The following is a 27,450-nucleotide window of genomic DNA, read 5'->3' as shown; positions in this document are numbered from 1 at the left end:
CTGGCCTGGGACTCACCCGTCAGGGCAGTGGGCTCCCCTTTGGCCAAGGGCAGGTCTAGAAATGCTGTCCAAGAGTCAAGTCCTAGAATTGGGAACCCAAAAGCCCACTTGGTGCTCTACCCCACAGTGGTGGTGTTGGTACCTAAGATGCAAAACAAAGTCCCCTTTACTCTTCCTTCTGTTTTTATCAAGTGGAAGGAGTTTTGCCCCATAGCCACCACAGCTGGTAATGTGCATAGTCTCACCTGAAGCCAACAAGTCTCAGAAGCTCACCAAGGTCCTCAACGTAGTACCCGGGTATCACTGCTGGTTATTCAGGACCCAAGGGCTCTTCAGTTAGCAGATGATGAATGCTGCCAGGACTGGGTCCTTTCCTTCAAGGCAGTGGGTTTCCTTCTGGCTCAGGGTGTATCTAGAAATGTCATCCCAGAGCTAGAGCCTGGAACAAGGGCCTCATGACCTCAAGGTGCCCTGTCCTTCTGTGGCAGAGCTGATAAGCAAGATGCAAGACAAACTCCTCCCAACTCTTCCCTCTCCTCTTCTCAAGTGGAAGGAAGGGGTTTCTTTTGGATCCACAAGCTGTGCAGTCTCAGGTTAGGGGAGAGGTGATGCCAACATTCCCTTAGCTGCCCCAGCTGGTATCTCAGTATGTCCCATGCCACTTCAGTCCATTGTCTTTGGGCCTAGTTCAGCACTAGGACTCACCTATGAGGTGCAGTCCTTATGGCCTAGACTACCTTTCCAATTTACTTAGACAACAAGAGCACTGTGGCCTTTGGTACTGAGGTTTGCGGGCAGTCAGGTTTGGACTGCTGGTATCAGTGATTGCCCTCTGGCTAAGGCTGGTTGACATGCCTTCTTTTGTGTGGACTTCAGCTTAGTTTGGTCAGGTTTTCCTTTTTGCTGCAACAAAATGGCACTGAGTTCAGTGCCTCACAATTGCTCTGTTCTCCCTTCACCAGCACCCAGAGGTGCTCTTGGCACCAAGCCACACTGCTGGGGTCAGGGAGGGGTGGCATCGGAGACTCGGAACTGTTTTTCTGTCTTTTCAGTGTCTCTTTCAGTGATACGAGGTTAAAACGAGGTACTGTGAGTGCTCACCTGATTTTTAGCTCTTAGGAAGATGCTTTTTCCTGTGTAGTTGTTTGTTAACTTAGTATCCTTGTGGTAGGGGTAGGAGGATGATCTGTGGAGTTTTCTGTTCTGCCGTCTTGTCTCACCTCCCTCCTAAAAAAATATTCTTAAATGAGATTGTAATGTTTATATGAACTTGCACGAAGACAGACGTCTTGTGCTTGGATCCTGGGTCTCTTACCGGTTTTGTAACATTCTTCAACATACTTATAACTCTGTGCCTATGATGCCTTCTCTGTAAAATGAAGATAAGAATAGTGTCATAATGGATGTAAAACCTTTAAAACAGGACTAAACGCCATGTAAGGTTAGGTGGTGGTATTGTTACTATTTATCTTATTTATATCATATTCTGTGGTGACCTGTCCGTATTTGCGAATACCTTTCAGTGATAGGAAATTAATTCTACTTCTTGATCCTAATTCTACTCCCTGTCTGTTCCTAATCTTGTTTTCCTTTGCTTCCTCTTTTCTCATCTACTCATATTTTATGCCTTCCTTCATGCTTTACATAACTTGTAGCCACCTTCAGTGTTTTTTTGGAATAAAGTAGTGTATGCATACATACATATAAATCTTTGTTCCTAGAATTTAGCACTGTTAGTGCATGGTCTTTATCTTGGATGTTCATATATTCTAGTTCCCAGAACAGTAACTTCTAGACCTTAATAAATTATTTATTGAATGAACAAAGGAATTAATTACTTTGAATTTGTGAGGTGTTGTATATGATTATTATTTTATTCCTAAATCTTATCATTCTTTAGACCAAAAGGATATCCAGTTTGACAGTGTTCTTTTTTAAGAATGATGCTTATAACTGAATATAATAGTTCTTATGGGATTCGATCAACAGAGAGTAACAGAGTATTATTATGTTATTTTATTCTGTGTGTATTTGTCTATTACTGTACTTAAAATACCAAACGGGAGGGGCAGTATGACTTTGGACTCATTTGCCATAATATTGAAGTCAAATGTGTTGCTGTTAAATCAGCTTTCTTTACCCAATTCACATTTGTGCTTAAAAAAAAAAGCATTACAAGACCTTGCATATTTCTGTTCAACTTATTTTTAACATTCATTTCATTATTACAACATTTATTGTAAGTTGTATCAGTTTCATGTTTCTTCATCTTCTATATATGGAGATTATGCCCCAGTTACATCTCTTTATCTGTAAGACTAGTAATATCAAAAAGGAAAATGAATTTCATGTCTTAAAATTTATCCTTAGTAAATTCTATATTTTCTGTTGATTATCACTTTTAAAGGCCAAACCCTCTTTTTAGGAATTTTTCCTGAATCCCATCCAGGAATCACATGCTGTAGTTTGCTCTGATTTACTAGATTTGAAATCACCCTTTCCCATTTATGTGAAAATTAGATTTCTGTTTGTAGGGAAAAGAAAGAGAGCTCAGACTGTTACTGTGTCTATGTAGAAAGAGAAGACATAAGAAATTCCATTTTGACCTGTACCTTGAACAATTGCTTCACTGAGATGCTGTTAATTTGTAACTTTGCCCCAGCCACTTTGCCCCAACATTGAGCTCACAAAAACATGTGTTGTATGGAATCAAGGTTTAAGAGATCTAGGGCTGTGCAGGACGTGCCTTGTTAACAAAATGTTTATAAGCAGTATGCTTGGTAAAAGTCATCGCCATTCTCTAGTCTCGATAAACCAGGGGCACAGTGCACTGTGTGGAAAGCCACAGGGACCTCTGCCCTGGAAAGCCAGGTATTGTCCAAGGTTTCTCCCCATGTGATAGTCTGAAATATGGCCTCATGGGATGAGAAAGACTTGACCGTCCCCCAGCCTGACACCCGTGTAGGGTCTGTGCTGAGTTGGATTAGTAAAAGAGGAAAGCCTCTTGCAGTTGAGATAGAGGAAGGCCACTGTCTCCTGCCTGTCCCTGGGAACTGAATGTCTCGGTATAAAACCCGATTGTACATTTGTTCAGTTCTGAGAAAGGAGAAAAACTGCCCTATGGCGGGAGGCGAGACATGTTGGCAGCAATGCTGCCTTGTTATTCTTTACTGCACTGAGATATTTGGGCAGAGAGAAACATAATCTGGCCTACGTGCACATCCAGGCATAGTACCTCCCCTTGAACTTAATTATGACATAGATTCTTCTGCTCACATGTTTTTTTGCTGACCTTCTCCTTATTATCACCCTGCTCTCTTACCGCATTCCTCTTGCTGAGATAATGAAAATAATAATCAATAAAAACTGAGGGAACTCAGAGACTGGTGCCGGTGCAGATCCTTGGTATGCTGAGTGCTGGTCTCCTGGGCCCACTGTTGTTTCTCTATGCTTTGTCTCTGTGTCTTATTTCTTTTCTCAGTCTCTCATCCCACCCGATGAGATATCCCACAGGTGTGGAGCGGCAGGCCACGCCTTCAGTGTTCGCTAGTTTCAATGCTTACAATGCCTGTCATTTATCTGTAGCTCTTATACTTTTTATAAAAAGTAATTTTACACCAAAAGCCTTGAAACTTTTTTAGAGTAGTAGATTTGAACTCTTGTTATTATTTTATTCTACTGTTATCAGTAACCTCCCATGTTAACACTATTGTTTCTTTCTGTTTACTTTCAGCTGGTTGGTGGAGAATTTGAACTGGAGATGAACTCTATTATCCAGGATGCTGAGAGTATAATACGCATGACAGAGCTTTTAGAGCACTGTGATGTAACATGTCAAGCAGAAATAGGGAGCATGTTTACAGCCATTCTATGAAAAAGTGTTTGGAATGTACAGACTAGCACAGAAGTTGGGCTAATTAAACAAGTATTGCTGAAAATGAGTGCTGTAGATGACATGAGAGCAGGTATGGGGTTGATTGTTAGGGAAGTATAACTTAAAAGTTTATAAAGTTTCACATACTTCTCTTTATATTCTATAGGTAATGTAGATTTGTTGACACTACTTTGATTTAAAATAAATGGAAATGTATGGAAATTTTACTTTTTATATTAATGGAAAACCTGAAGAGTGAAAGAAGAAAAATATACTTACTATAGTAGACAAATATAATTACTAATGTTGTTTTCTAAATTTTAGAAAATCTCAGTACCACGGAGTGCTATGAAATCTATCAGAAAAATAAACAGTATCTTTTTATGTAGTATTTCATTAAGCTTTTACATAATTAAAATGCCACAATAGGTATTACAGTTCTGTATAATGAGCATTTTATCAAATTCCCCTAGTTCTGTGCCCCTCAATCTGGCATATATGCAACTATGACAGGAGGTACTAAAAGCCTTAGATAAGCATGGTGTATCTTTTTTTTTTCCCACGTATATTTTTTGTTTTTTTTTTTTTTTTTTTTTTTTTTTTCTGTTATATGTCCTGGTTCTTCCATAACTGATAAACTTGATTTATACCGAGGAGGTGGGAAAGTGGGCGGGGCAGGGTGGACTGACCCGGGATGGGGAAGCTCCTCTCGCTGCCCCCTCGGGGCGGGCCTAGGCCCTTTGGAGGATGGGGACGCCAGGACACTCCTCCCTGAGGTTGTCTGGCCGCCTCTGCCCCTAGTGCTCAGAATCCTGCGTGCCCCTCAATTCCGGAATCCCTCCTGGGACCCCATGCCCACTGGGCACACTGCCCCTGGTACTCAGAATCCCGAAGCACCATTCGGTTCCAGAATCCCCTCCTCAGCTGCTGGGGTGGCGGGGTCCCTCCTTTCCGATGTCCCCCCCAACCCCTGAGGGGGGAGGGAAGGGAGGGGGGTCAGGTCTCCCCTCTGTGGCAGGGGGAGGTGGAGGTGGAGGTGGAATCGGAAGGGCGTGGAAGGCGGGGGCCAGGAGGGCTCAGCCGATGGTGAGTCCAGAGCCACACTGGAACTTGTTCTTGCGGTGATTCAGGAAGGCCCCAAGGGCCAGCGTCAGGGGCAGGAGCTGGAGCTTCTTCTCCAGCGTGGCACCCACGATCCAGTTGCTATCCACAGAGCCTTTGAAGAGGAGGTTGGCCTTGGGCAGGTCCAGCTGGTACCTGAAGGAGACGCTGGTATCCTGCATCCTTGTGCTGGCCTGAAAATCCACACCCACCTGCAACTGGTCACTGGCTTTGTGGTAGTATGTTGCGTGCATGCCCGCCTGGCTCAACGTTACCGTTGCCAACCAGTTGTTCAATGTGTATTTCCCAGCTAGAGACGTGACAGTGCCCTCGTCCCCAGGCCGCCGGTTGTAGACCAGCTCTCCGCCCAGGGCCAGGCAAGGCCTGATGCTCTGGAGGTAGTGGGCTTCGAGAATTCTTGAACCCACGAGGACGTCTGGGATCCCCAGGGTGACGGCTGCTGTGAGTCAGAGCCCCGATACTCCCCGTCCACCTGCCAGTTCACAAACTTCGACTGCTGGGTCTGGATGGCCATCTTGGACCTGAGACCGGGGCCCAGCTGGTGAATGACCTGAGCGTGGAGACTGCCGCTGTTGTCCATGTCACCTACCAGTACAGGGAACGCCTCTGTGGGACTCAGCTGCTTTGTCCCCACATACGTGACCCCGAAGTGGTAGTTGGACTCCCCGATTGCGCTGAGGGCTACTGTGTGGTTCACCTGGAAACGGTTACTCAACCCTTTGTTGACTGTGAGCTTGACACCCTCCATCTGAATGGGAAACAGCTCCTTACACCTCCGGTGGCACTCCTGGAATGTGCCCGGGTTGGGCAGGCAGCCGCAGGCCCCATCCTCGGCGGCCCCTGAGGCGCTGGCGGTTGCAGCCCCGGGGGTCCGTTCCGAACCTCGACTCCTAGTGGTGCCGGCGCCCAGGCCGCCTCTCAGCGGCGGCAGCGTGAAGCCCGGCGGCGAGGGCGGAGGTGGCGGCCCTGCGGGCGGCGAGCTGGCGGCCAACATGTTCCCCATGGTCGCTGGCGGTGGCGCCTGCTCCCGGCCTGGTCTCCGCTCCCACCCGGTGCGCCACGCGCAACCGAACTCGCTGCCGCCGCCGCCACCCCCGTCGCCAGCATGGTGTATCTTTTGGACATGTCCATTTTGGAAGAAACTTTTGTGTTAAAATAAACTAATATATTATGGGCTAGAACATAAAATTCACCAAGAATTTCAAGATAAAAATACTAATGTTTTGCTTGTTTGGGTTATTTCAAACAATAACTTTGAAATCTATAATTTTTTCACCACCGACCCTCTACCTCCTTGCATGCTCATTCTCCTGTGTGGCTAGATGCATTTCGGAAAAGTGTTTTGAATATTATTTCAGAGCAAGTATCATTCCAGAAAATAAGTTTAAAGTTTGAAATGTTTATTTTTTGTAACCCATGAATCTTCAGCTTAAGTATCTTCTGACATAAAAGCATTTTCATAATTATAAAAGTGCTGATATTACTCTCCACAGTATTATATCTGATCCTGCAAAGTAGTTCAGATACCAGAGAATACTCTTAAACATTTTGACTCACGCAATTAATTATGTTTAAAATTTATGTAACAAGACATTAAATGAGAAAGAATGGAATGAAAAATGGGTTAAAAGAATGCAAAATCGCAAAAAGAATGCTTTGAATTTAAATATTTCCAAAAATTTGATTTTCTGAGAAAATATATTAAAAATCATACGTAATTACCTTCAGGGTGGCAAGTATCTTTTTTTATAATGACTTAGCACCCCTGTATTGGGGACCGATGGCTAACTTGGTGAAAAATGAGATTCACACATCTGTTTCTTAAAATACCTTTTTAATACAGATATATTAATAGTAGCATTTCTATAAATTCTAGAGTTACTTAATAGGAATTTATTAATATAGACTTATGTGTACACATGTTTTATAGAACATCATATGATCCTTCAATTCTTATATCTGAGTTTAAGCTCTTAATTTTTTTTTTTTTTTGTAAATTGCCTGCTACTCTATGGAGTGCAGTTTAGAGAATGAGCCAAAATTACATGCATAGTAGTTTACTAGTACATAATTCATCAACACTGAAATGTAAAAGTGACAGTGAGGGTGATCGTACCATAGAAGTTCATATTTTGACATTGCCATTATATAAAGCTTCTTCATTCTCCTATCTTTTTCTCAGTAATAATATTAATAACACAAAATTTTTCACTTTTTGTAATTTCTAGTATTTCCTTTCAAAAGAGCTTGATGATGGAAGGATATGAGAAAAGAGAATAAATGTCAGAAAAATACCTCTGTCTTGCTTTTTAACAGAGAAATTAAACTTTAAATATTATACTAAGGAAGAACCAGTAGCCACCAAAACACTTCTAACTGTTCACATCTGAATGTATTGTAGTATGTTAAGTTCAATGGGGTACTTTTTGTTTAATAATGTAGTAAAAGTGTCACTAGAAGGTGGCTAAATTAAACATTTATAGCAAATTGATAAGAAAAGCTATCTTGTTTGATAATAAAATGCTAGTTATATTGTATGATAATAAAACTGCCTGAAATAGTTGCTTACACACTAAAATCTGAAAGGTTAGTATAGGGTTTAACTCATTTGAAATAGTGTGTATGTGTGCATGCATGTGTATGTGTGTGTATGTGTACTTTTTTTCATGGCAAGCACTTAGAATTCTTTGACTACTTTGAAATTATTTATTGGCCACCTACAGAGTATTTTCTATATCTTCAGCCATTATGTTTGGAGTAGATTACATTCCTTATTCTTGAAGAACTCTGATGGCTAGACATGCAAATACAGCTTGTTTTATAACTGATACTGTAGATTTAGGTACTCAAAACTATGGGGACACAATTGAAAAGAGAAACCAAGCTAAGTTGAAGTCCAGAAAAGCTTCACAGATGAGGAACATATTAGTCTGCTATTAAAGAATAATCGAGATTTTGTCGGAAGGAAGAATGATTTGGATAGAAGCAACGTGATGTATAGGAAGAGGAACTGTAAAAGAACAAGTGCAACAGCTGGTATATTTAGATGTACTTTGGAATGTGGGGTTGGGTACTAGAGGAGGATAAAATCGAAAGGGTTTGTTGGAGCCATAGCATGTGGGAAGTCTTGTATAACCTGAAGAAATTACAATTTTATTCTGAATGCAGAAGATTTTTGACATGGAAGGTCCATGTTGTATTTGAGAAAGGCCATTATCAGCAACGTGAAGGATCTTTTTGGGGAACAGATTAATTTTAAAGTCATAATGGGTAATTATCTTTTATGTAGAATTTGAATAAAGTCTAGGAAAATAAATAAATCCATTCGGATGTTTCTTGAAGTCAGGTGAAATAATCAGCTACTTTCTCACTTATTCCTTAGAATGGCTACATTTTATTTGATTGCTATTTTCAAAGGAGTCCTACATTATTCCTTTTCTGCTTATGAATGGACCTAAATCCTTTTTGGTTATAAATATCAGTGGTTATGTTTCTGAGTAATAAATGTCATGCTTTGCCTTTCTTGGTTTCAATGTTGTTAACATTATGAACATTATCTCTTAATGCTTGCATTTCTTCAATATTGATTCCATTAACATTCTCTAGCTCAGTCATTTTTGGCTTTAAGGATTCAATCTCCTTTAACCAAATGGATTGCTACTGAAAACCACTAGAATGAGTTGATCAACTTAACAATGTGTTGATCTGTAAGGATTGAAACCTCTGTAATTTTAGTATGCCAGTAATGCACAGTACAGCATACTTACCTATAAGAACATCAAACATTCATTGATTGCCATTCTATATGTTAGGCATTGTAAGTGTTTATATATATGTACTCATTTACTACTTGCAATACACTGAAATAAGACTGCCTGTGTTCAAGTTCTGGCTTCACCACCTACTATTCACCTTGTACTTTTGGTGTCTTCAACTATAAAATGAGGATAGGAATAGTGCCTATCCCATAGGATTTAATGAGAGAATCATATTTAAAGCCCTTTTGTAATGGCTGGGTCAGAAATGTGAGCACAGAAATATGTGCGCTATTACTATCTTTTAAGCTCTATTATAAAATACTATATATGGATAACATGAGAGCGAGTTTTAAATAAGCATCTGAACTTCCAAACATAAATGGGGTTGAACTTCAAAGTGGTCATTTTGGGAGATTATATATTAATTTCAGTGGTACCTTCATTTTTCAATGATTACACATTTTTCTACTTCATGATTAAATTTACAGCTAAGGGAATGCTTCTGTAGAAGAAAACAACCATATTTCATAGTTACATCTTTTTAATTTTTTAAACTAAAAATGTACTGCTTTGCTCGATCAACTGCAGTATTTATCAAACTTGACTATGACCAAGTTTTTTTTTTCCTTTTTCTTTTTAATTTGTATGCTATTTTCAAAGGTATACCAGAATTAGAGAGCAGGTTGTTATTTAAAATGTGAACTTTGTATAAATGTGTTCTGTATTTGCTGATTGCAAATGGTCCTTAAAGGTAGATAAAGTCTACTTGGTGGTAGGGTTTTGTTGGCAGTTAATTTGTTTTTATGTATTTCTGAGATTTTAGATTGAAATACTAAAAGCTTCCATAGTCTTTTATTTCCTAGTTTAAATTTCTTATATTTACTTATAACTCAACCTTTTATATTTTTGTTTAGTTTTTATTTGACACATATTAAACTCCTTCTACCATACAGGGAAATAAGTTTTATTTTTATAGGAATGTTTAATAGCCATTAGGTGTTTAGTTCTTTTTATCAGAGGATATTATACTATTCTCAGTTGTCTTTACAGTTTTCATGCTAGCAAAGGAGTTGGTTACTCTGCTCATTTTGTTGGCAACTGTTTTATAGTCACATCATCGAAGTCCAAAGGAAAATGTTTTCAGCATTGTGTGAAATATGATTTTCAACCACGTAAGGTAGGTAAAAGTAAATATTTTTATAACTCACTTGTTATGACAGAATTCTTAACTATCCTTTTATGACCTCTGTAGCATTCTCTTTCACTGGATTTCCTATGCTTTTAATGGTTTTCTCTTATCCTTGTTTGCATTTTCTTTTTACTTTTATGTCTAATTTTTGTCTTCTGTAAGGTCAGTGCTTTGATCTCTTGCGTGTATTTCTCTTACATTCTCTCATTATCTCAGTCTCATCTGTTCTATGGCATTCTTTCAATAGATACTTATTATTTACTGAGTATTGGACACCATTGTAGGCACTAGGGAGTTATAAATCTTTGCCTCTTTTTTAAAAAAGTTAAATGTTAAACCCCCAGATTAAGCAATGCACAGATAGTTTTCTTGGGGAGATTCACCTAATCCTAGTAGTTCTGAATCTTGTTTCCTAAGAGTGGAGGTTTTGTTAATTTCTGATGCTTTAATAATGCTGGCTTCAAGGAGTTGAATGTTGCTGTACTGTTAGTTTTGGCTCATAAAATATGTCTTTACTTAATATCCCAAATAATAGCAAAAACAAGGTCAAAACACATTTTAAAAACTGCTGTAAAGAGAAAATGCAGAGAAATGTGCAACTGTATAATTAGAATTATAAGAGATAATTCATTCATAATCGGGTGGCATTTTCTAGAGAGATTTTCCTGCCTGTGTACCGGACTCCATCTTTGTGTCAGAGTAACAAACCATCTGAAAGTCCAGATGAAAGAAAACAAGGACAGAGTGCATAGCAGTTCCCATCTCACATGTTTAAGGCTTTTTTGCCCTTCCAGGTTCAGGGTTCTTTCTTGGGTATATGACAGTGAGATTGTCAACGTTTTATAGGGCACACTGCCTCCTCCTAACAGAAATATCGCCTTACCCTTTGTGATTAATGGTACAATCATAATAGATATGATGAATCCAAACGTGGTGAGGGGGAGGTCTTTATATCTTTTTCATATCTTTTTTGTTTGTTTTCTTGTAGCTTATGATCTGATGTGTGTCTTGTCATATACAGAAAAAAAAATATTTTGGGTGGTATTTTCAAAAATTTGTTTAGATTTTATATGATTCTAATGAAAATATTTGTTTTATATTTAATGTCAGTAATTGTGGTTTCTATTAAAGAATATCAATTTAACAATAATTCATCAATATATACTTAGAAAATAGTTTAAAAAGCAATGATCTGAATAAATATATTCGTTCGTTATAATGGTGTATTCTTTCTTTTTTAATACAAATTGATTACTTTAATACCAATCACATTGCCTTTGCTCTGGACATTCTGTTTTATTAAAACTAAGATAAGACCAAGATTGTTTGCTAAAATTGCCAAATTATTTTGAATTTCAGTGGAATTGATTAGAAGTACAGATTGTTGGTATTATAATTTTTCATGTTAGGATTGTGTGTTTTTAATGAATATTCTAGGTAACTTTCTCATCAGACAGTTTTAGGAAACAGTGGTTTAAAGAATATACATGCAAACAATTAGAGTGAAGTTATAACCAAATGAAATTGTCATTAGCCAATAAAAAGCACTTTAACCCATTTGTTCTCACGTTTTCTATTTTGTGTTTTCTTCACTGTTTACTTGTGGAAAACACATTCTCCTTTGTAAAGCTCTCAATATGCAATGATACTAAGGGTCTAGTTAGGAGCAGGGCCAGAGAATGATGTGGATTTTAAAAAGTCTTCTGTGAAGATTCTCAAAAACCTTGAAAAGTCATAAGTATTTGCTTTTATTGTGTTTCATTATTCACAATAAATTTATTCTCTTATTTCTTCCTTTCTTTAATTTCCCACAGATGCCCTAGCTAAGTTGTTGTTATCCTTCCTAATAAGAGATTTACTGGCCTTTCAAAAAGAAATCTTTACATTAAAACTTTTGCTTTCCCAGCTGCACCGCTTACCAGCTGTTAGAACTTGTGAAAATGGGTATAAACCATTAGCATGTTACCTAATGGTAATATGTGCTCTAGACATATTAGCTATTATTGATATCATCTGTACTTTTTTGTCTTCAATTTATTTCCATATCTTCAACTTGTAATATATATCTTGTGGATTCTTAATATGGATCTTTTTTTCCCCTTATTCCTGGTTGTGTCCTTCTTCTATAAATTTCTTTTTGAGTCTCAAACTAAATGCAGACTTCACTATATATACATAATATCAGTATGCACAGCTAGTTTCCAAGTTTATTTTTATTTTCTTTAGTCGACATATATAAGGTCAAAAGTTAGGCTTTTTTTAACCATTGAAAAACTCACTTGTGTCTGTTATCTGTAGAGTACAGTTTGATGTACCAAGGAAAGAGAAAAGTTACTTTTCTTATAAATAAGTACTCTGGTCTTAACTGAGATCAGTTCATTAATTCATCAGTGCATTCATTTATTTATTCATTTAATTTTATCATATATCATTGTTACAACCAAAAGCAAACCTTGATAAACTCCAAATCTGATTAATTTTTCTGTATTAATGATCTTAAGTTAATGGTACCCTTACCCCTCTAAGTGAAAATTGGAAGCCATCTTAGACTCCCCTGTTGTATGTTAACACTTCCTATCAGTTCTGTTAGTTAATTCCCATCCTCATTTTAAAATTACTAATGACTTTGTCTTAGTTCAGCGGCTTATGGTGTCTTACCTCAACCTTTGCAGTGGTTTTTCAGTTTTATCTTTGTCCACACTTGCCTACCTATCTCACCTCCACATTGCTGCCAGGTATTTTCCTTCACTATGAAGCTGATCGTTTAACTTTCCTGCTCAAAATTATTTAGTTATACCACATTATGCAAAAAACAAAGGCCAGTTTCCTAAAGGTCTGTTTATAATCTGGTCTTTGCCTGTTTTTGTTTTTGTTTTTGTTTTTCCTTCTAAACCTACACACTGAAGAAAGTTTTATCAAGCATCTGTGCTGTATCATATTAAGATTCCACCTGGAATGTTTTTTTTACCCCTGTCTACTGAACAATTCCTTTTCATCCTTCAAGCATAGTCTTATGGTTCATTTTATGCTTTTAGTGAATACTTCTATGATAGTCTTTCTTCTCTATTTGTCTTTCCTTCCCTGTTACTTATAGTAATTACTTTTATTACTCTCAAATCTGTATTTTAGATATTCTCGATTGTTCTCATAACTGTTTCTCTAGTGAAACTTCCTTGAGTGTGCGTATGTTGTCTGTCTTTATATATCCATGATCCAAGGTTGGGACAGGGTACTTGGCATAAAGTAGGCTCTTAGTACATTTTTTGAATGAATGAATGACTCTGAAAGGTAAATAATAATCAACTTTAGCATAAATGAACCTCATCATGAGGACATAGTAGATAAAATTAAAATAGTAGTTTAGTGAATGGTATGTTATGTATGGGTGCCAAATACATTGGGAACTTTTCTTCATAGTTTTCATACATTATCTGTTTATAATATTCTCAAGGAATCCACAAAGTAGGCATTATTATTCCCCTTTTTCAGAGATGAAAATAGGTTCAGAGATACTAAGTAATTTGCCAAAAGCCATAGAGCTAGTAATTTGGGAACCCAATTCATGTCTTTAGGAAGTAAAATTTATCCTGCCCAGTACATTAAGTTATCTGAAGTAGTAAGAACTCAGTAAGTATTGTTTGAATGAGTACTTTTTTAATTGTAAGTACACCAATAAGTATGATAATACATCTAGTATTTATCTTAAAATTGTCTTTGGGCAGGAAATCTTTGCCTATATATAGGTATTTATTTGTGTCTCTTCTCTTTAGAAATGTAGGAAGAGAAACGAAGTGGAATAGGGCAACTTTACTACCAGGCTGCAGTTGGACAGCGCCTGTGTTCTTTTTTTTTTTTTTTTTTTTATTATTATACTTTAAGTTTTAGGGTACATGTGCACGTTGTGCAGGTTAGCTCCATGCTAGACAAACATTTACAATTACAAGCTAAATATCTTTTAGTATGTTCAGAAGCCATTGTATTTCTTTTTCGTTGTAAATTTGCTGTTTAGGCCACCTGTTCATGTTTCTAATGAATAGCTTTCCTTTTCTTGTTGATTTATAAGAGTTCCTAATAATTAAGGCAGGTTAACTTTGTCTATTATAAAAGTGGCATATCTTTCTCTGAAAAAAAAAAAGAAATGTAAAGTTTTCTTTACATTTTACTTTACTCTACTTTATCTTTTACTCTAGAATATAAAGATTGTGTCTTCTGTGTTATTTAGATAGCATTCTGGTTGGATAGTTTCAAACTCAGTGAAGGTAATATGTGCAAACTTTAATTCTTATACATGTAAAATTCTATAAGATTTTCCTTAAATTTATTTGAAGCTCTTTTTTTATGGTTTCTTCTTGATAATTTTGTAATATTTAGAAACAATGGTTAAATGACTACTTTAAAGATTTTCTCTTCTAATTTTAATCAGGGCTAACATATATGTCAGTTTCGAATCAAGTAAAAGACTTAGTTTGCAATAAATTAACGATTACCTGGAATGAAAAACCTGAAAAAAGGGTGGGCATTTTAGACAGTTAAATGTCTGGACCTGACCTTGCTTTTATAGAAGCACACTGTTGTTTTGTATTACTGACTTTTTTGAGTTCTTTAACACACTATTTTTTTTTCTTTTTCTTTTTCCTTGTTTTTTTTTTTTTTTTTTTTTTTGAGACAGAGTCTTGCTCTGTCACCCAGGCTGGAGTGCAGTGGTGCAGTCTTGGCTCACTGCAACCTCTGCCTCCCAGGTTCAAGTGATTCTTGTGCCTCAGCCTCCCGAGTAGCTGGGATTACAGGCAGATGCCACCACGCCTGGCTAATTTTTGTATTTTTAGTAGAGACGGGATTTCACCATGTTGGCCAGGCTGGTCTCAAACTTCTGACATCAGTTGATCTGCGCACCTTGGCCTCCCAAAGTGCTGGCATTACAGGCATGAGCCACCGTGCCCAGCCTATTTTTATTTTCTAAATTGAAATGGACAAAATTGAATTTTTCTCAAAGTATTTTAGATACCTTGAAATGACTAATATTTTAGTGATTAAGGATTATTATAACTTTTTATTTCTCAAAATATATATGAAATAATTGAATAGTGCATTCAAGTAATCTGTAGAACAAAGTTTGTATTTTATATTTTGGTGGGAGGGAGAAACCAGTTAATTTTCCCCTCTTAACTTCAGAAAGCATACTTGTTCAAATGTTTATAGATCATTTGTATTTTTCTATACTTTAGAAAAAAATAGTTCTATATTCTCTATTTTAGGGTATTAACTCTCAAGAGAATAAAGGTTGTTTCAGAAATCAAACCATCCATATTAAAACAGATACTTAAAATGCTATTTGACAGCAGTAACTATAAAATGGGCACTTAATATGAACTCATTCATTGATTCTTAAGAACAAAGACTCTAGGTAAGATATAGCATGCACATATATGAGTTAGTTTTAAATGTGCAGTACACCTGGCTAGGGAAATATATAAAGGTTCTGTTTAAATCACATTGGGAATTGTGAAGTCTCAAACTACTTGGAGCTGAAAGAGAATTACACATTATACTCAAAGTGTTTATAATTCTGAAGGAGTACTTGTCTTGTATGGAAGCTTGGTTTATTTATTGAACTCAATTTAAATAATTAATGTGAAGATTGTGTTATGGAAAGGAAAAACATTTAAAAAAGTCCCTCTTTGGCCTTTGTATTTTTGCATTGGTATTTCTCTTTTTATTTTTATGTCATATATATATATACGCACACACACACACATATGTATATATATATATAGAGAGAGAGAGAGAGGAAAGTTTGAATTTACCTATATTAAAAGATCTTTTTTTCTCAGTGACTTTAATAACCATAATAATATTGAAGAATAATAATGCTATTATTTTTATGTCAAGGTAATAATACTTGCTATCATATATTTTCCATATCATTTTTGTTTTTGTCTTACTAGCTCTAGAAATGAATTTGTGCTTGTCCAGCTACTTCTTCTTTCATGGGTCTTTTTGTTGGGTTTGCATCCTGGTTCTTCCATTGTTGATCTTGCATAGGAATATTTTTGTAATTCACATTTTTTATTAATATGCTGCCTGCTTTTCTTTCCTACTTCTTTGAGTTGTTTCATAAAATACTTGTAGTGTCTTTTTAAGCTCTAGTAGAATGATATTAAATACAGTGACAAGCAAACAAATGAAATATAAAAAGGTAGAATATCAAGAAAATACAAATCCAATATGATTGCTAATGTGAAATTTCAGAATTGATGGGAGCTTCCTGGCAACATCAAGGAAAAAGGCTGAATATAAGCAATTTTGTAATTCTATTCACAAAGAAGCAAACTGTGTCCTGAACAGTTTTGCAAACTCTGTAGTTGGTAGTATTCTTTTCACACGTCTTTCTTGTCATTCTTTTTAACAACAGTCATCTTGTCATTCTTTTTAACCCGGTCATCATGTGTGCACAGCTCATGTGACATAGTATAGTATCCTTAGTATCCTAACACACAGTAGAGTACCTAAAGTCAGAACTTTTAAGAGAGATACCTGTAAATTTGGGCATTACATCAGATAGTATTTTATTACGTTTTGAAAGTTCTCAGCTTACTGCACCCTTGTTGTAAGTGGGGATGGATGATAAATCCACAGGTACATGCATTTTCTCAATTTGTAAATATTGTAAGTACAATTGCACCATGACAGGCATCAGCAAATTTTTTTTATATTAAAAAGCTTTTTTTTTCTTTTTAGAAATTCAGAGAACATAGAGAAGGAGGAACGCAAATGATCAGACTGTGTTTTGACGGAAAAGCTGAGTAGTTCACACATTATAGTCACAATTATCTTGGTAAAGTCACTCTCTGTGAGAGAAGGGGTGGAGGTCTACAGTGGAATTTTTAAGGTGTAGATAATATAATAACTAATGGACATTTGGATAAATCACAAATGGAGTTTAAATTACGTAGTGTTGTATAATAACATAGTATTTATATTTATTGCCTTAAGTTATATGGAACTTTCTTTCATTGTAATGGTCAGACAAAATTTATGATTCTGAGCTTAGTGTGGATAGCATGTCAACATATGGGCTTCGAAGTTAATAAAATAAGTTAATTCTACCTTCAAATAATGTCATCAAACTAAATATTCAATAGAGTCTGTCACAAATGATTTTGACTTGTTGGTCACTGTAGTGCTAGGTAAATTTTTTTCTGTCGAATATTTGGTTTTGAGCATTGCATCTTATCAGTAAATATTCTGTACTTGGTTATTTTCTGGAAACGGTAAATAAGTTAGGGTATGACTTATTAACTAAATAAACCATTCAGTTTGGAAAATACAGAAATACAGAAAATATTTAAAATACAGAAAATCTCACTGTAGATTTGTCTAGTATAGTAAAATTTACTACCAGATAGGTTTACTGTGGATCTCTATTTGGGGTTATTTAATGTCTTCAAGATTCTGTATGAGGTGGCCCTTTGACAAAAGCTTGCAAATCAGATTTTAACAAAGTTTTTATATTTCATAATTATTACTAGACATTTTCTCATTGTTCTCTTAATCCCGTGTAGCAAGCAGTTAGTCTTCATGGCCAGATATTTGAAAATTTAGCTTTGAGTTCTCTCTTTCATTTATGAATATGATAGCATAATGGTTTTTATAATTTGCTATATCATAATAAAGTTCTAACTGATAAGAGAAAAAGTATAACACAACCTCCAAAATTAAAAATCACTTCAGAGGATTTCCAATACTTGTGTGGAGGGGTGAGCTCCTAACAAACTGATCTTCTCACAAATAACCATTTGTAAACTCTGCACATAATATAGATAACATCTATCTGAGGGTTGTGGAGATTGAATAAAAGCAGGCAAGCTTTGGAGGGGAATCAAAATATGGAACAGTCAGTCTACATGGACTGATATCCCCATTTTTTGCTTTTATAGGAAATTTTCTGGCCAGAAAGTTTCTCCATAATATTGTACAGAGTTATAGTCACACTATTTAGCATATAATCCAAAAGTACTTATTCTAAAAATGGTCAGGAAAATGTGACTTATTCTCAAGGGAAGAGAAAATCATCATATACCAACTCTAAGATAACCCACATGTTGGAAATATCACATGAGGTCTATTGTAACTAGCGAGGTAGAGAAAAGTTTACTTATAATGAATTAAAAGATAGGAAGTACCAGCCGTGAAATAAAACAAAATCAGATGGCAATTCTAGAGCTGAAAAATATATCAGAATTAAAAATAGGCTCTATGGGCTTATTAGCAGAATTAATATTATAGAGAAGTAAATGAACTTGAATATAGATTGATAGAAAATCTGAAGAGACTTATGAAAGATTGGGGTGAAAAAATAGAACCATAGAGATGTATGGGGGCAGTTTTGAAAGGTCTAATAGGCACAGTATAAGAGAAAGAGCCAGAAAAAATATTTGACTAAATGATGATAGAAAACTTCTCAGATTTGGTAAAAGGATTACGTTTATAGATTGAAGAAACTCTGAAAATTCCAACCAAAATAAACGCAAAGAGAACCAAAGTAGGCATTTACAGTCAAAGTGTGGAAAACCGAAGATAAAGAGAAAATCTTGAAAGCAGGCAGAGGAAAACTAGATACTGATAAGGGAACAATAATTTGAATTTCTGTACACATCTCATCAGAAAGCAGGGAAGCCATAGAGGTGGAACAAAATCTTTAAAGTTCTGAAAGGAAGAAAAAAATCTGTCAACCTAGAATTTTTTATCCAGTGAAAATATTCTTTAGGTCTTTTGAAAGAAAATTTTAAAAATTTGTTGTTATTTGACTCTCATTACTGACTAAAGAAGAAAACCTGGATGATTCAGTGTATATACATGTAATACGTATGATAACTCACAGAAAGATTTGGGGAGAGGCTATAAATGCACCTATGTAGTTGAAAAGTTATGTATTTTGCAATGTGTCTTGATAGAATGTTGACGACAATTCAATGGCTAAAACAAAATTATCAAAGTCAAAATTGCATGTCTTTTCTTGAATGATAGGTATGTATCTGGTATTTCATTTACCCACAGCATATGCTGTAGACCCCTCTTTCAAATTAAAGATAACAAAAGCCCAATTGAAAGGAAAACAAAATACATCAATGCTAACTAAATACAAATAATTAGCCTTCACTAATTCATCCATTCATTCTTTTATTAAACAGTTGGGCACTGTTCTAGATGCTAGGGACATAACAATCAAACAAAACCAACAAAAACCCCTTGCCTGTATTTTGGAGAAGTAGGGTTTGCAGTATCATGGGAGAAGACATAACAAAACAAAAGAAAAATATATAGTGTGTATATGGTGATAAGAGCTATGAGACACACAAAGCAGGTAAAAAAGATGGAAGTTGATGCTAGCCAAGTGGATATCTGGGGAAGAGCTTTAAGGGTAAATGCCAGAGCAAGAATGAAGGCCATTAGCAGAAGCTTACTTCACAGATTAAAGAACACTGTGACTATGTTTTCCTGTGACTGTCACAGAAGGAGCAAGGGGGAGAGTCAAAGAAGATTAATTCAGAGAACAACTATATGCTTTCAGAGGATTGTTATGACTTTATTTTTGCTCTTGAGTGAGAGCGACAGCCATTGAAAAGTTTTGGGTGTACTGGCCTGATACCAATTTGAAAGGGATCACTCTGGTTACTATGGTAAATAGGGAGAAAAGGTGGAAATAGGGAGACTAGTTAGGGGGCTGCTGCAGTTATTTAGTGAAAGAGCTCTGGAAAGTATTGAGACTTGATTAGATTTTTGATAAAGCATATCTAAAATATCTAAGACTCTCAAAGGTCAGCTTTTGGATATACTTTGGAGGTAGTGCCAGTAGGATTTTCTGTCACTGTGAACATGGGGTAAGGGAGCAAGAGAGGACTGACAGGAGCAAGTAACCCCATGAATTTCAGCCTGAACAACTGAGCTGATGGAGTTGTCATTTGCTGAGATGGGAGGACTATGAAGAAATAAGTTTTGGCAGAGAAGATCAAATATTAGGTTGTGGACATAGGTTATGGGCATAGTTGTTTGAGATGCCCAATAAACATCTAAATGGAAAAATGAAGTAAGTCTGGAGTTTAGAGGTGACATCTAGGTTGGAGATAGAAATTTGGCATTGGCAGGATATGGACAGGATTTAAAGGTAAAGGACTGGATTTACGTGCCAATGAAGTGAGTTCAGAGAAAAAGATAACTGAGAAATGAGTCCTTGGGAAAGCCACTGTTTGTAGGTTGAGGAGATGCAGAGGAAGCAGCAAAGGAGAAAGAGGAGAGCAAGGGAATAAGGAGAAAAAGCAGGAGAGTGTGGTGTTTTAACTTGACCTACTTGAAGTTAAATCTCCTTTCTTCATTGAGGATACTGTCAAATACACACAGGATAATAGATTAGAAAATCCCATAATTATACATAAAGAACAGCCTCAGAATAATAATATCAATAATGCCCAATTGTTATAATTACTGAAAATACAGTTAATTTGTTTTTGCATGCGTTCTCTTCATTCTCCCTCTTGCCATTTTTAAAATAGTTGAGGTAGGTTACAAGGTGAATTATGTTCCCCTAAAATTCATTGAAATTCTCACCCTCAGTAGCCTGAAATGTGACTGTTTTTGGAGACGGGTCTTTAAAGAGGTAATTAAGATTAAGTGAGGTCATTTTGGTTATTGGGTCCTAATCCAGTATAACTGTATCCTTATAAAGAGGAGGAAATTAGGACTCAGACACATGCAAAAGAAAGACCATGTGAAGACACAGGGAAGAAAAGGTAGTTAGGTTGTCTTCAAACCAAGGAGAGAGTCTTCAGAAGAAAACCCTGCTTACACGCATATGTTAGACTTACAGCCTCCAGAACTATGAGAAAATAAACAACTTTTATTTAAGCCATCCAGACTCCGGTACTTTGTCATAGCAGATCCAGCAAGCTCATACAAGGTCTTATCTACATTGTGAGCACACACAGTTATTACATACCATTCTCTCTTAACTCTTATTTAATCATAGTCCTATAAGTACCTGTGTGTTTAGGGCTCATATTATTTCCTTATATTGATGTGTTTTGGCTGTGTTTTAGCTCTTTCTGTAGTAGATTCCTCAGGAAGAGTTCATGGAAACAGTATTTCTTGAGAAATGCATTTTGATACTAGTTTGTAAGGTGCTTTATATTTTTTACTTGAAAGTCATTTTGCCTGGCTATAAAATCCTTGACTTTTCTTTCTCTCTTTGGATGTCTTAAATATGCTACTAATTTTTCCCTGGCATGAGGTATTAGTATTGAAAGTCTGTTGACAATGTAATATCTTCTCCATTACAAGACACTCAGTCTTGTTAGATGTTCAAAGGACTTTTTTTTCTTTTTCCTTAAATCTAATAATTTTGGTAGATATGTCTTGGTGTTGGTCGTTCTGAGTTAATTTCTCAGGTATATGGTGTGCACTTTCATATGTAGTTTGCATCTTTTCATATTTTAAGAAATTGTTCTTATACTATACTTTTAGAATTTCTTCTGTTTCCTTGCTTTGGTTTTCTTCTCCAGAGACTTGACTATGCATGTTTATTTACTTTGCTTATCTTTAATATTCCTCTTAAATCACTTATTTTATTTCACTTTCTCTTAAATCTTTATCTCCTTCTTTATTTCTCTCTCATTTTTAAATTTAAAAGTAAAATAAAAATTACAGAAAAGCTACAAGCACTATGCCAGTTTTTTTCCTGAACTATGAGAGTAACTACTGACATGATGCTCCATCATTCCTGAATGTTATGTTGCTACAAACAAGAACATTCTTTCACATAATTATTCTGTAACATAAAATCAAGAGATTAGCAATGATTTGTTACTACCATTTAATTCTCAGACCCCGTTAAAATTTTGCTATTTGTTGTATATTTTATAGTAAAAAGATCCAGTTTACTGCGTTTACATTATAATGCATCAAACAGCTTCTCAGTCTTTCCTTCATTTTCCATATGGATGCCCTCTTAACCTGAGGCAGGTGTTGGCTTCTTTTCTGGTTACCTTCCATCATGGATGCCCTCTTAACCCTTCCTCAGTTCTAGCACAATACACTTAGCTAGGCTGTTGAGCTGATGCCTTCCCTATATCCTTCTGGAGCCCCGGGTTTCTTTACCTCCTGCTGGGCAGCCCTCTTATTCAGATGCTACCTTCTCTCTAGAACTCTTGACACCCCACCCTGGCTTACTCCTTTAGGCAATGTGCTCCCTGCCCTGCTGGTGTTGTGCCTTCCCTTGCCTGGTTGCTTCCCTTTGTGCGTATTTCTCATCTTCCTCAGGCTACAACAAACTGAGCCAGGCAACCCTCTGTGAGGATGCCCTTCTCTGGCTGCCCAGGCTCCAACATGTCAAGCCACACACCAAATGAATGAGTTTCAACCCCCACTCTAGGTCCAGCTGCCTCCGATGGTTTGCCCTCTCCTCCAGGCGGAAGCCTTCTCACCCTTTTCAGGCTCTGAATCTCTACACAGAGAAGCCTTTAGTGTACCTAACCTTCCTTACCTTGCACATACTCAGAAACTTTATGTCAAAGCACAACCCACTTGCCTCTTCCTTGTTGTTTCAGGTAGACGCCTTATCACTTTTTTGGAATTCTGACTTCATGAACTGGGCAGCTCTCCTACCTACCCTTCCTACCCTTCTTATGCTCTGACGTCCTGCAACAAATTGCACTATGTTGTTGGCTGTAGGTTTTTTATAGATGCTTTTTTCTTGCTAGTTAGAAGTTCCATTCTATTCCTAGTTTGTTCAATGCTTCTTATAAAAAGTGTTAGTTTCTGTCAAAGACATTTTGTGTATCTGTTGAGATAATAATATTAATATGCTAATCAGTCTAGGTACAGGCTTGTTAGTAGTGTTGACCTTTTCAAAGAACTGGCTTTTGATTTTATTGTGTTTTCACAGTTGTTTTCTTATTGTCTATTTCATTAAGTTCTTCTATAATTCTTTTTATTTTTTTCTTTCTGCTTGTTTTATGTTTAGTTTGCTTTTTTGCTTCCAGGGTCATAAGGTGGGAGGTTTAGTTGTTGATTTGAAGTCCTCTTTTTAAATACAAACATTTACACGTATAAGTTTCTAAGTGCCTTAACTGCATATATTTTGGTATTTGTGCCTTTATTCATCTCAAAATATTTTGTAATTTCCCTTTTGATTATTTCTTCTTTGACACATCAGTTATTTAGGAATGTGTTTATTTCCACATATTTGTGAATTCCTCAAATTCCCATATATTATTGGTTTCTAACATTCCAGTTTGGACAGATCATATACTTTGTATTATATCTGTCTTCATAAATTTATTGAGGTTTATTTTATGACCTGAGTTTGGTCTATCCAGGAGAATGTTTTGTGTGTACGTATTTTTTGGAAACAGGGTCTCTCCTTCTGTCACCTAAGCTGGAGTGCAGTGGTGCAGTCCTAGCACACTGGAGCCTTAGACTCCTGGGCTCAAGTGATCCTCCTGCCTCAGCCTCCTGAGTATCTGGGACTATAGGCACAAGCTACTGTGTCTGACTAATTTTTCAGTTTTTTACAGAGACAGGGTCTTGCTAGCTCAGGCTAGTTTTGAACTCCTGGCCTCAAGTGATCCTCCTACCTCAGCCTCCCAAAGTCTTGGGATTACAGGCATAAGCCACTGAGCCAAGCTATGTGTACTTTAGAAGAATGTGTATTCTGCTGCTTTGGGATGGTGTGTTCTAGAGTTGTCTGTTAGTTCTGTTTGGTTTTTGTTCAAGTCTTCAGTTTCCTTCTTGATTTTATGAATGGAAAGTTGAGTATTGAAGTGCCCAACTATTATTGTTAACTTGTCTATTTCTCCCTTCATTTCTTCAGATGTTGCTTCACGTATTTTGACACTCTGCTGTTAGGTGCATATATGTTTACAATTGCTATATCCTCCTCATGATTGGCCCTTTTATCATTATCCAATGTCTTTTTAATATCTAGTAATATATCTTGTTTTAAAGTCTGTTTTGTGTGATATTAGCACAGCCATTCCAGCTTTCTTGTGATTTATTGATATTTTTCCCATTTAATTTACTTTAAATATGTTTTTATCTTTGAATATTCTATAAACAGTATGTTATTGAATCTTACTTTATTATCCAGTCTGACAATCTCTGCCTTTTGATTGGATTGGTTATTTCATTGATCTTTAATGTGATTATTGATAGGTTTCCATGTGTCATTTTACTTTTTGTTAGCTATGTGTCTCATGTTCTTTTTATTTCTTTATTTCTTCTTTACCACTTTCTTTGGATTATGTGCTTATTTTCTTATACAGCATTTTCAATTTTTAAATAATTTTTTTTCACTGAAAAAAACATTTCCTTAGTGATTGCACTAGGGCTTACCATATACATCTTAACTCACTGGAATCAGCCTCAGATTTATACTAATTTTATCCTAGTGAGTTATATAAATGTTACTTCTATATAGCTCTATTTGTTTTCTCCGTTTTTTGTGACATTGTTACACATATAGTATCTGTATATGTTATGAACCCAACATGACATAATTATTACTTCATATAATTGTGTATTTTAAAGAAGCTGAGAGAAGAAAGGCGATACAGTATATGTTTGTAGATTTTATTATATTGATCTTCTGATTTATCATTTATGAATCTCTTCATTTGTTTCTGCAGATTCAATTACCACTTGGAGTCATTTCCTTAGCTCAGTATAACTTTGCTTCCATCCACCTTCTTTGTTATGCTGAAGTGGTCCGTATTGAAAAGCATGCATAATACTCTACTCATTTGAGTATAATTGGTACAAAATATATTCATACCTTCTTTTCTTCTTTTGAAATAATTATAACAGTTTTAATGAAGTGTAATTTACATGCCATACAACTCATTAATATTAAGTGTACAAGTCAATTATTTTTTATAAACTTACAAAGTTGTGCAGACATCACTACAATTTAATTTTAGAACATTTCTATCACCCCAGAAGGATCCTACCTGCCTATTTGCAATCACTCTTCATTCTCATCCGTGTCCTATTCATACAGTTTTAGATAACAATTCTTCCTCTGAAAACCCTTTTGAAAGAAATAATACAATAAATATTGATATTTATATAAAGGCTTATATTTTTATGTAAAATTTTTTCTTTTTAAATGTTTTTTAAAGTCAGGGTCTCACTGTGTCACCCAGGGTGGAGTGCAGTGGTATGATCATGACTCATTGTGGCCTCAAAATCCTGGGCTCAGTGATCCTTCCACTTCACCTCCTGAAGAGCTGGGACTACAGGCATGTGACACCACACTCGGCTAATTTTTAATTTTTTGGTAGAGATGGGGTCTCTCTCTGTGTTGCCCAGGTTGATCTCAAACTCCTGGCCTCAAGTGGTCCCCCACCTTGGCCTCTCAAAGTGCTAAGATTACAGGTGTGTGCCATTGTGCACATCTGCCTTTATATATAAATTTAAAGACATAGAAATAACCTAATACTACAAAGAAGGGGAGATAAGAAAATTAGTTTTATTTAATGGATTCCATGTTTATATTTAAATTACATTATACACTTTTTTAACCTGAAAGTGTTAGATTTCATTACATAAACTTGTTTTCCTCCTACAAACCAAAATAGGGTATGGTATGTATCATGGACTCAGAAAAACTAAGACCAATGTATTTCCAAATAAGAATAGGTTTTATTAAACATCTTACATTTCCACAAAGGTATTTTAAATCCTTTAAGATAATATATTAAAACTTGTTAATTCCAGTGTAAGCAAGATGAACAAAATGAAAGCAGGAGTTTTGTTCTAGACAATGGGATGTACAAATGTTTCAGCATTTGTAAAATGCAGACACGGAAAGCTGATTTAGTGTTTAACAACATATCTTGTGTGTTTTAATTCAGTCATTGTTTTTTTGAATGCAGATATGCTGAGTTCTTAAGCATTCTAGTGATAACACTACCCTCCTCATTCAAAAAAAAAGTATTATCAATGAAATACTTCAGACTACAGCATACACAAATTTTTAATTATTCATGTTGCTCTTGTCTTGGCACATGCCTAATAATTAATAGTTTGCATCCAGTTTTGTATTAGTCTCTACACACTAGTCCAGAAGTAAAAACTGACATGATTGGTCTTCACAGTGTTAAAATGTTTTAATTAAATTGTAAAATATAGTGCTTTTAGATAAAAATTCGGATTTCATGTTTCTCTTGAAAAATATGGAAGAACTAGCAACATTGAACAACTGACTTGAACTGAGGAGTAGGGGCCACTTTTAGAAAGGACAAACATTCTCTAGTTTGAGGAAGTCCCCATCTGGCCAAATTCGCTTACATGCATATCTGTGTGCCTCCTGTGAGAACTTGAGTTTGGGACATTTGATTTAACCCTATTATAACATTGAGTGAGAAAATTGGAGCCACATCAGCTAAAAGACTTCCTAAGCTGAAAAAGATTAGTGGCAGAGTCAGGATTTTAAGATGATTTCACTAGTGATACATTGAATATGGACTATAAATCAAAAGACTTAGAATTACATGCTGGCCCCTTCCCTTCTAAATCTTAATTTCTTAACATTAAGCTTTCATAGTTGTAAGTTGAAAGTAATAGTAATATTGATATGTGATGATTGCAAAGGTTAAATATCATTTATCATTATTAGACTCATATCTGCAGAGCAATTTTAACCACGTCTAACAATACCTTTCTTGTTATAGATGGCATATGTTTAGTTGTCTTTCATAAAAAGTAATAACATGTTTTAACAAACTTATCTTCTGAGTTTAGTATGTATATTGTGATATTATTGTTGAGTAGCATTGGTATTTCATAGGTTGATTTTATTTTTAGTAAAGATATGAATATTTTTGCATATTAACTTTTTATAGCCTCAAATGATAGTCTTTTTTGTAAGTAATTCATGTGTCAGGCACTGTTTATTTACATAAATACTTTTTAAAGTATTAACAAGAAAAATTAAACTTATGCTATGATGTAGTCAAGTACAATCCTATTATATATAAAATCAGGTTTGATATTTTTTTCTAATGAAATGATTTTGCCAGTAATCAAAAACTTTAAATTAGAAAATGAAGATCTGAGCATCTTTATTGGCATAATAAAACTTAACTCTCATTGAATTGAAGTGACTATAACGAAGTAAGTAACACCACTGAATAGTCCCTGACACATGAAAGGTACACAAGTACTTTCTTATTGCAAATGTTTCTCTGCTTTAAAACTTTGGCTTTTTAATTGTTGCTTTTAAAAACAGTGTTTAACTTAGTTTTATTTTTTCAGAGTACCTTCAAGTTTAAATCTAAGAGTGATATTCATTTGGCAGAACATCATAAACAGGTTTTATATGATGGGAAACTTGCAAGTAGCATTGCCTTTACATATAATTGCTAAGGCCACTGATACTCAACTCTGCCTGGAATCATCACCAAAAGAGGATGCATCAATTTTTGTGCATTCCCAACATGCTCTAATGCTTCCGG

The 27,450-nt window shown here is 35.8% G+C and overlaps 1 long non-coding RNA gene and 2 pseudogenes across 2 annotated transcripts in view; 2 read left to right on the top strand and 1 right to left on the bottom strand.

Annotated features, from left to right (window-relative positions):
* The window catches only part of LINC01297-DUXAP10-NBEAP6 (LINC01297-DUXAP10-NBEAP6 readthrough), a 115,486-nt gene extending 111,175 nt beyond the window's left edge, over positions 1–4,311 (top strand). For both annotated transcript variants that reach the window (NR_164308.1, NR_164310.1), the window contains one exon: positions 3,734–4,311. This is a non-coding gene — a long non-coding RNA (LINC01297-DUXAP10-NBEAP6 readthrough). The remainder of the gene's footprint in view (positions 1–3,733) is intronic.
* Positions 3,733–27,450, top strand: NBEAP6 (neurobeachin pseudogene 6; annotated as a pseudogene).
* Positions 4,454–6,066, bottom strand: TOMM40P1 (TOMM40 pseudogene 1; annotated as a pseudogene).

Source organism: Homo sapiens, chromosome 14 (genome assembly GCF_000001405.40).
Source record: "Homo sapiens chromosome 14, GRCh38.p14 Primary Assembly".
Lineage (NCBI taxonomy): Eukaryota > Metazoa > Chordata > Mammalia > Primates > Hominidae > Homo > Homo sapiens.
Note: the sequence above shows the minus strand (reverse complement) of the source record. Positions and strands in the feature narration are given on the sequence as shown.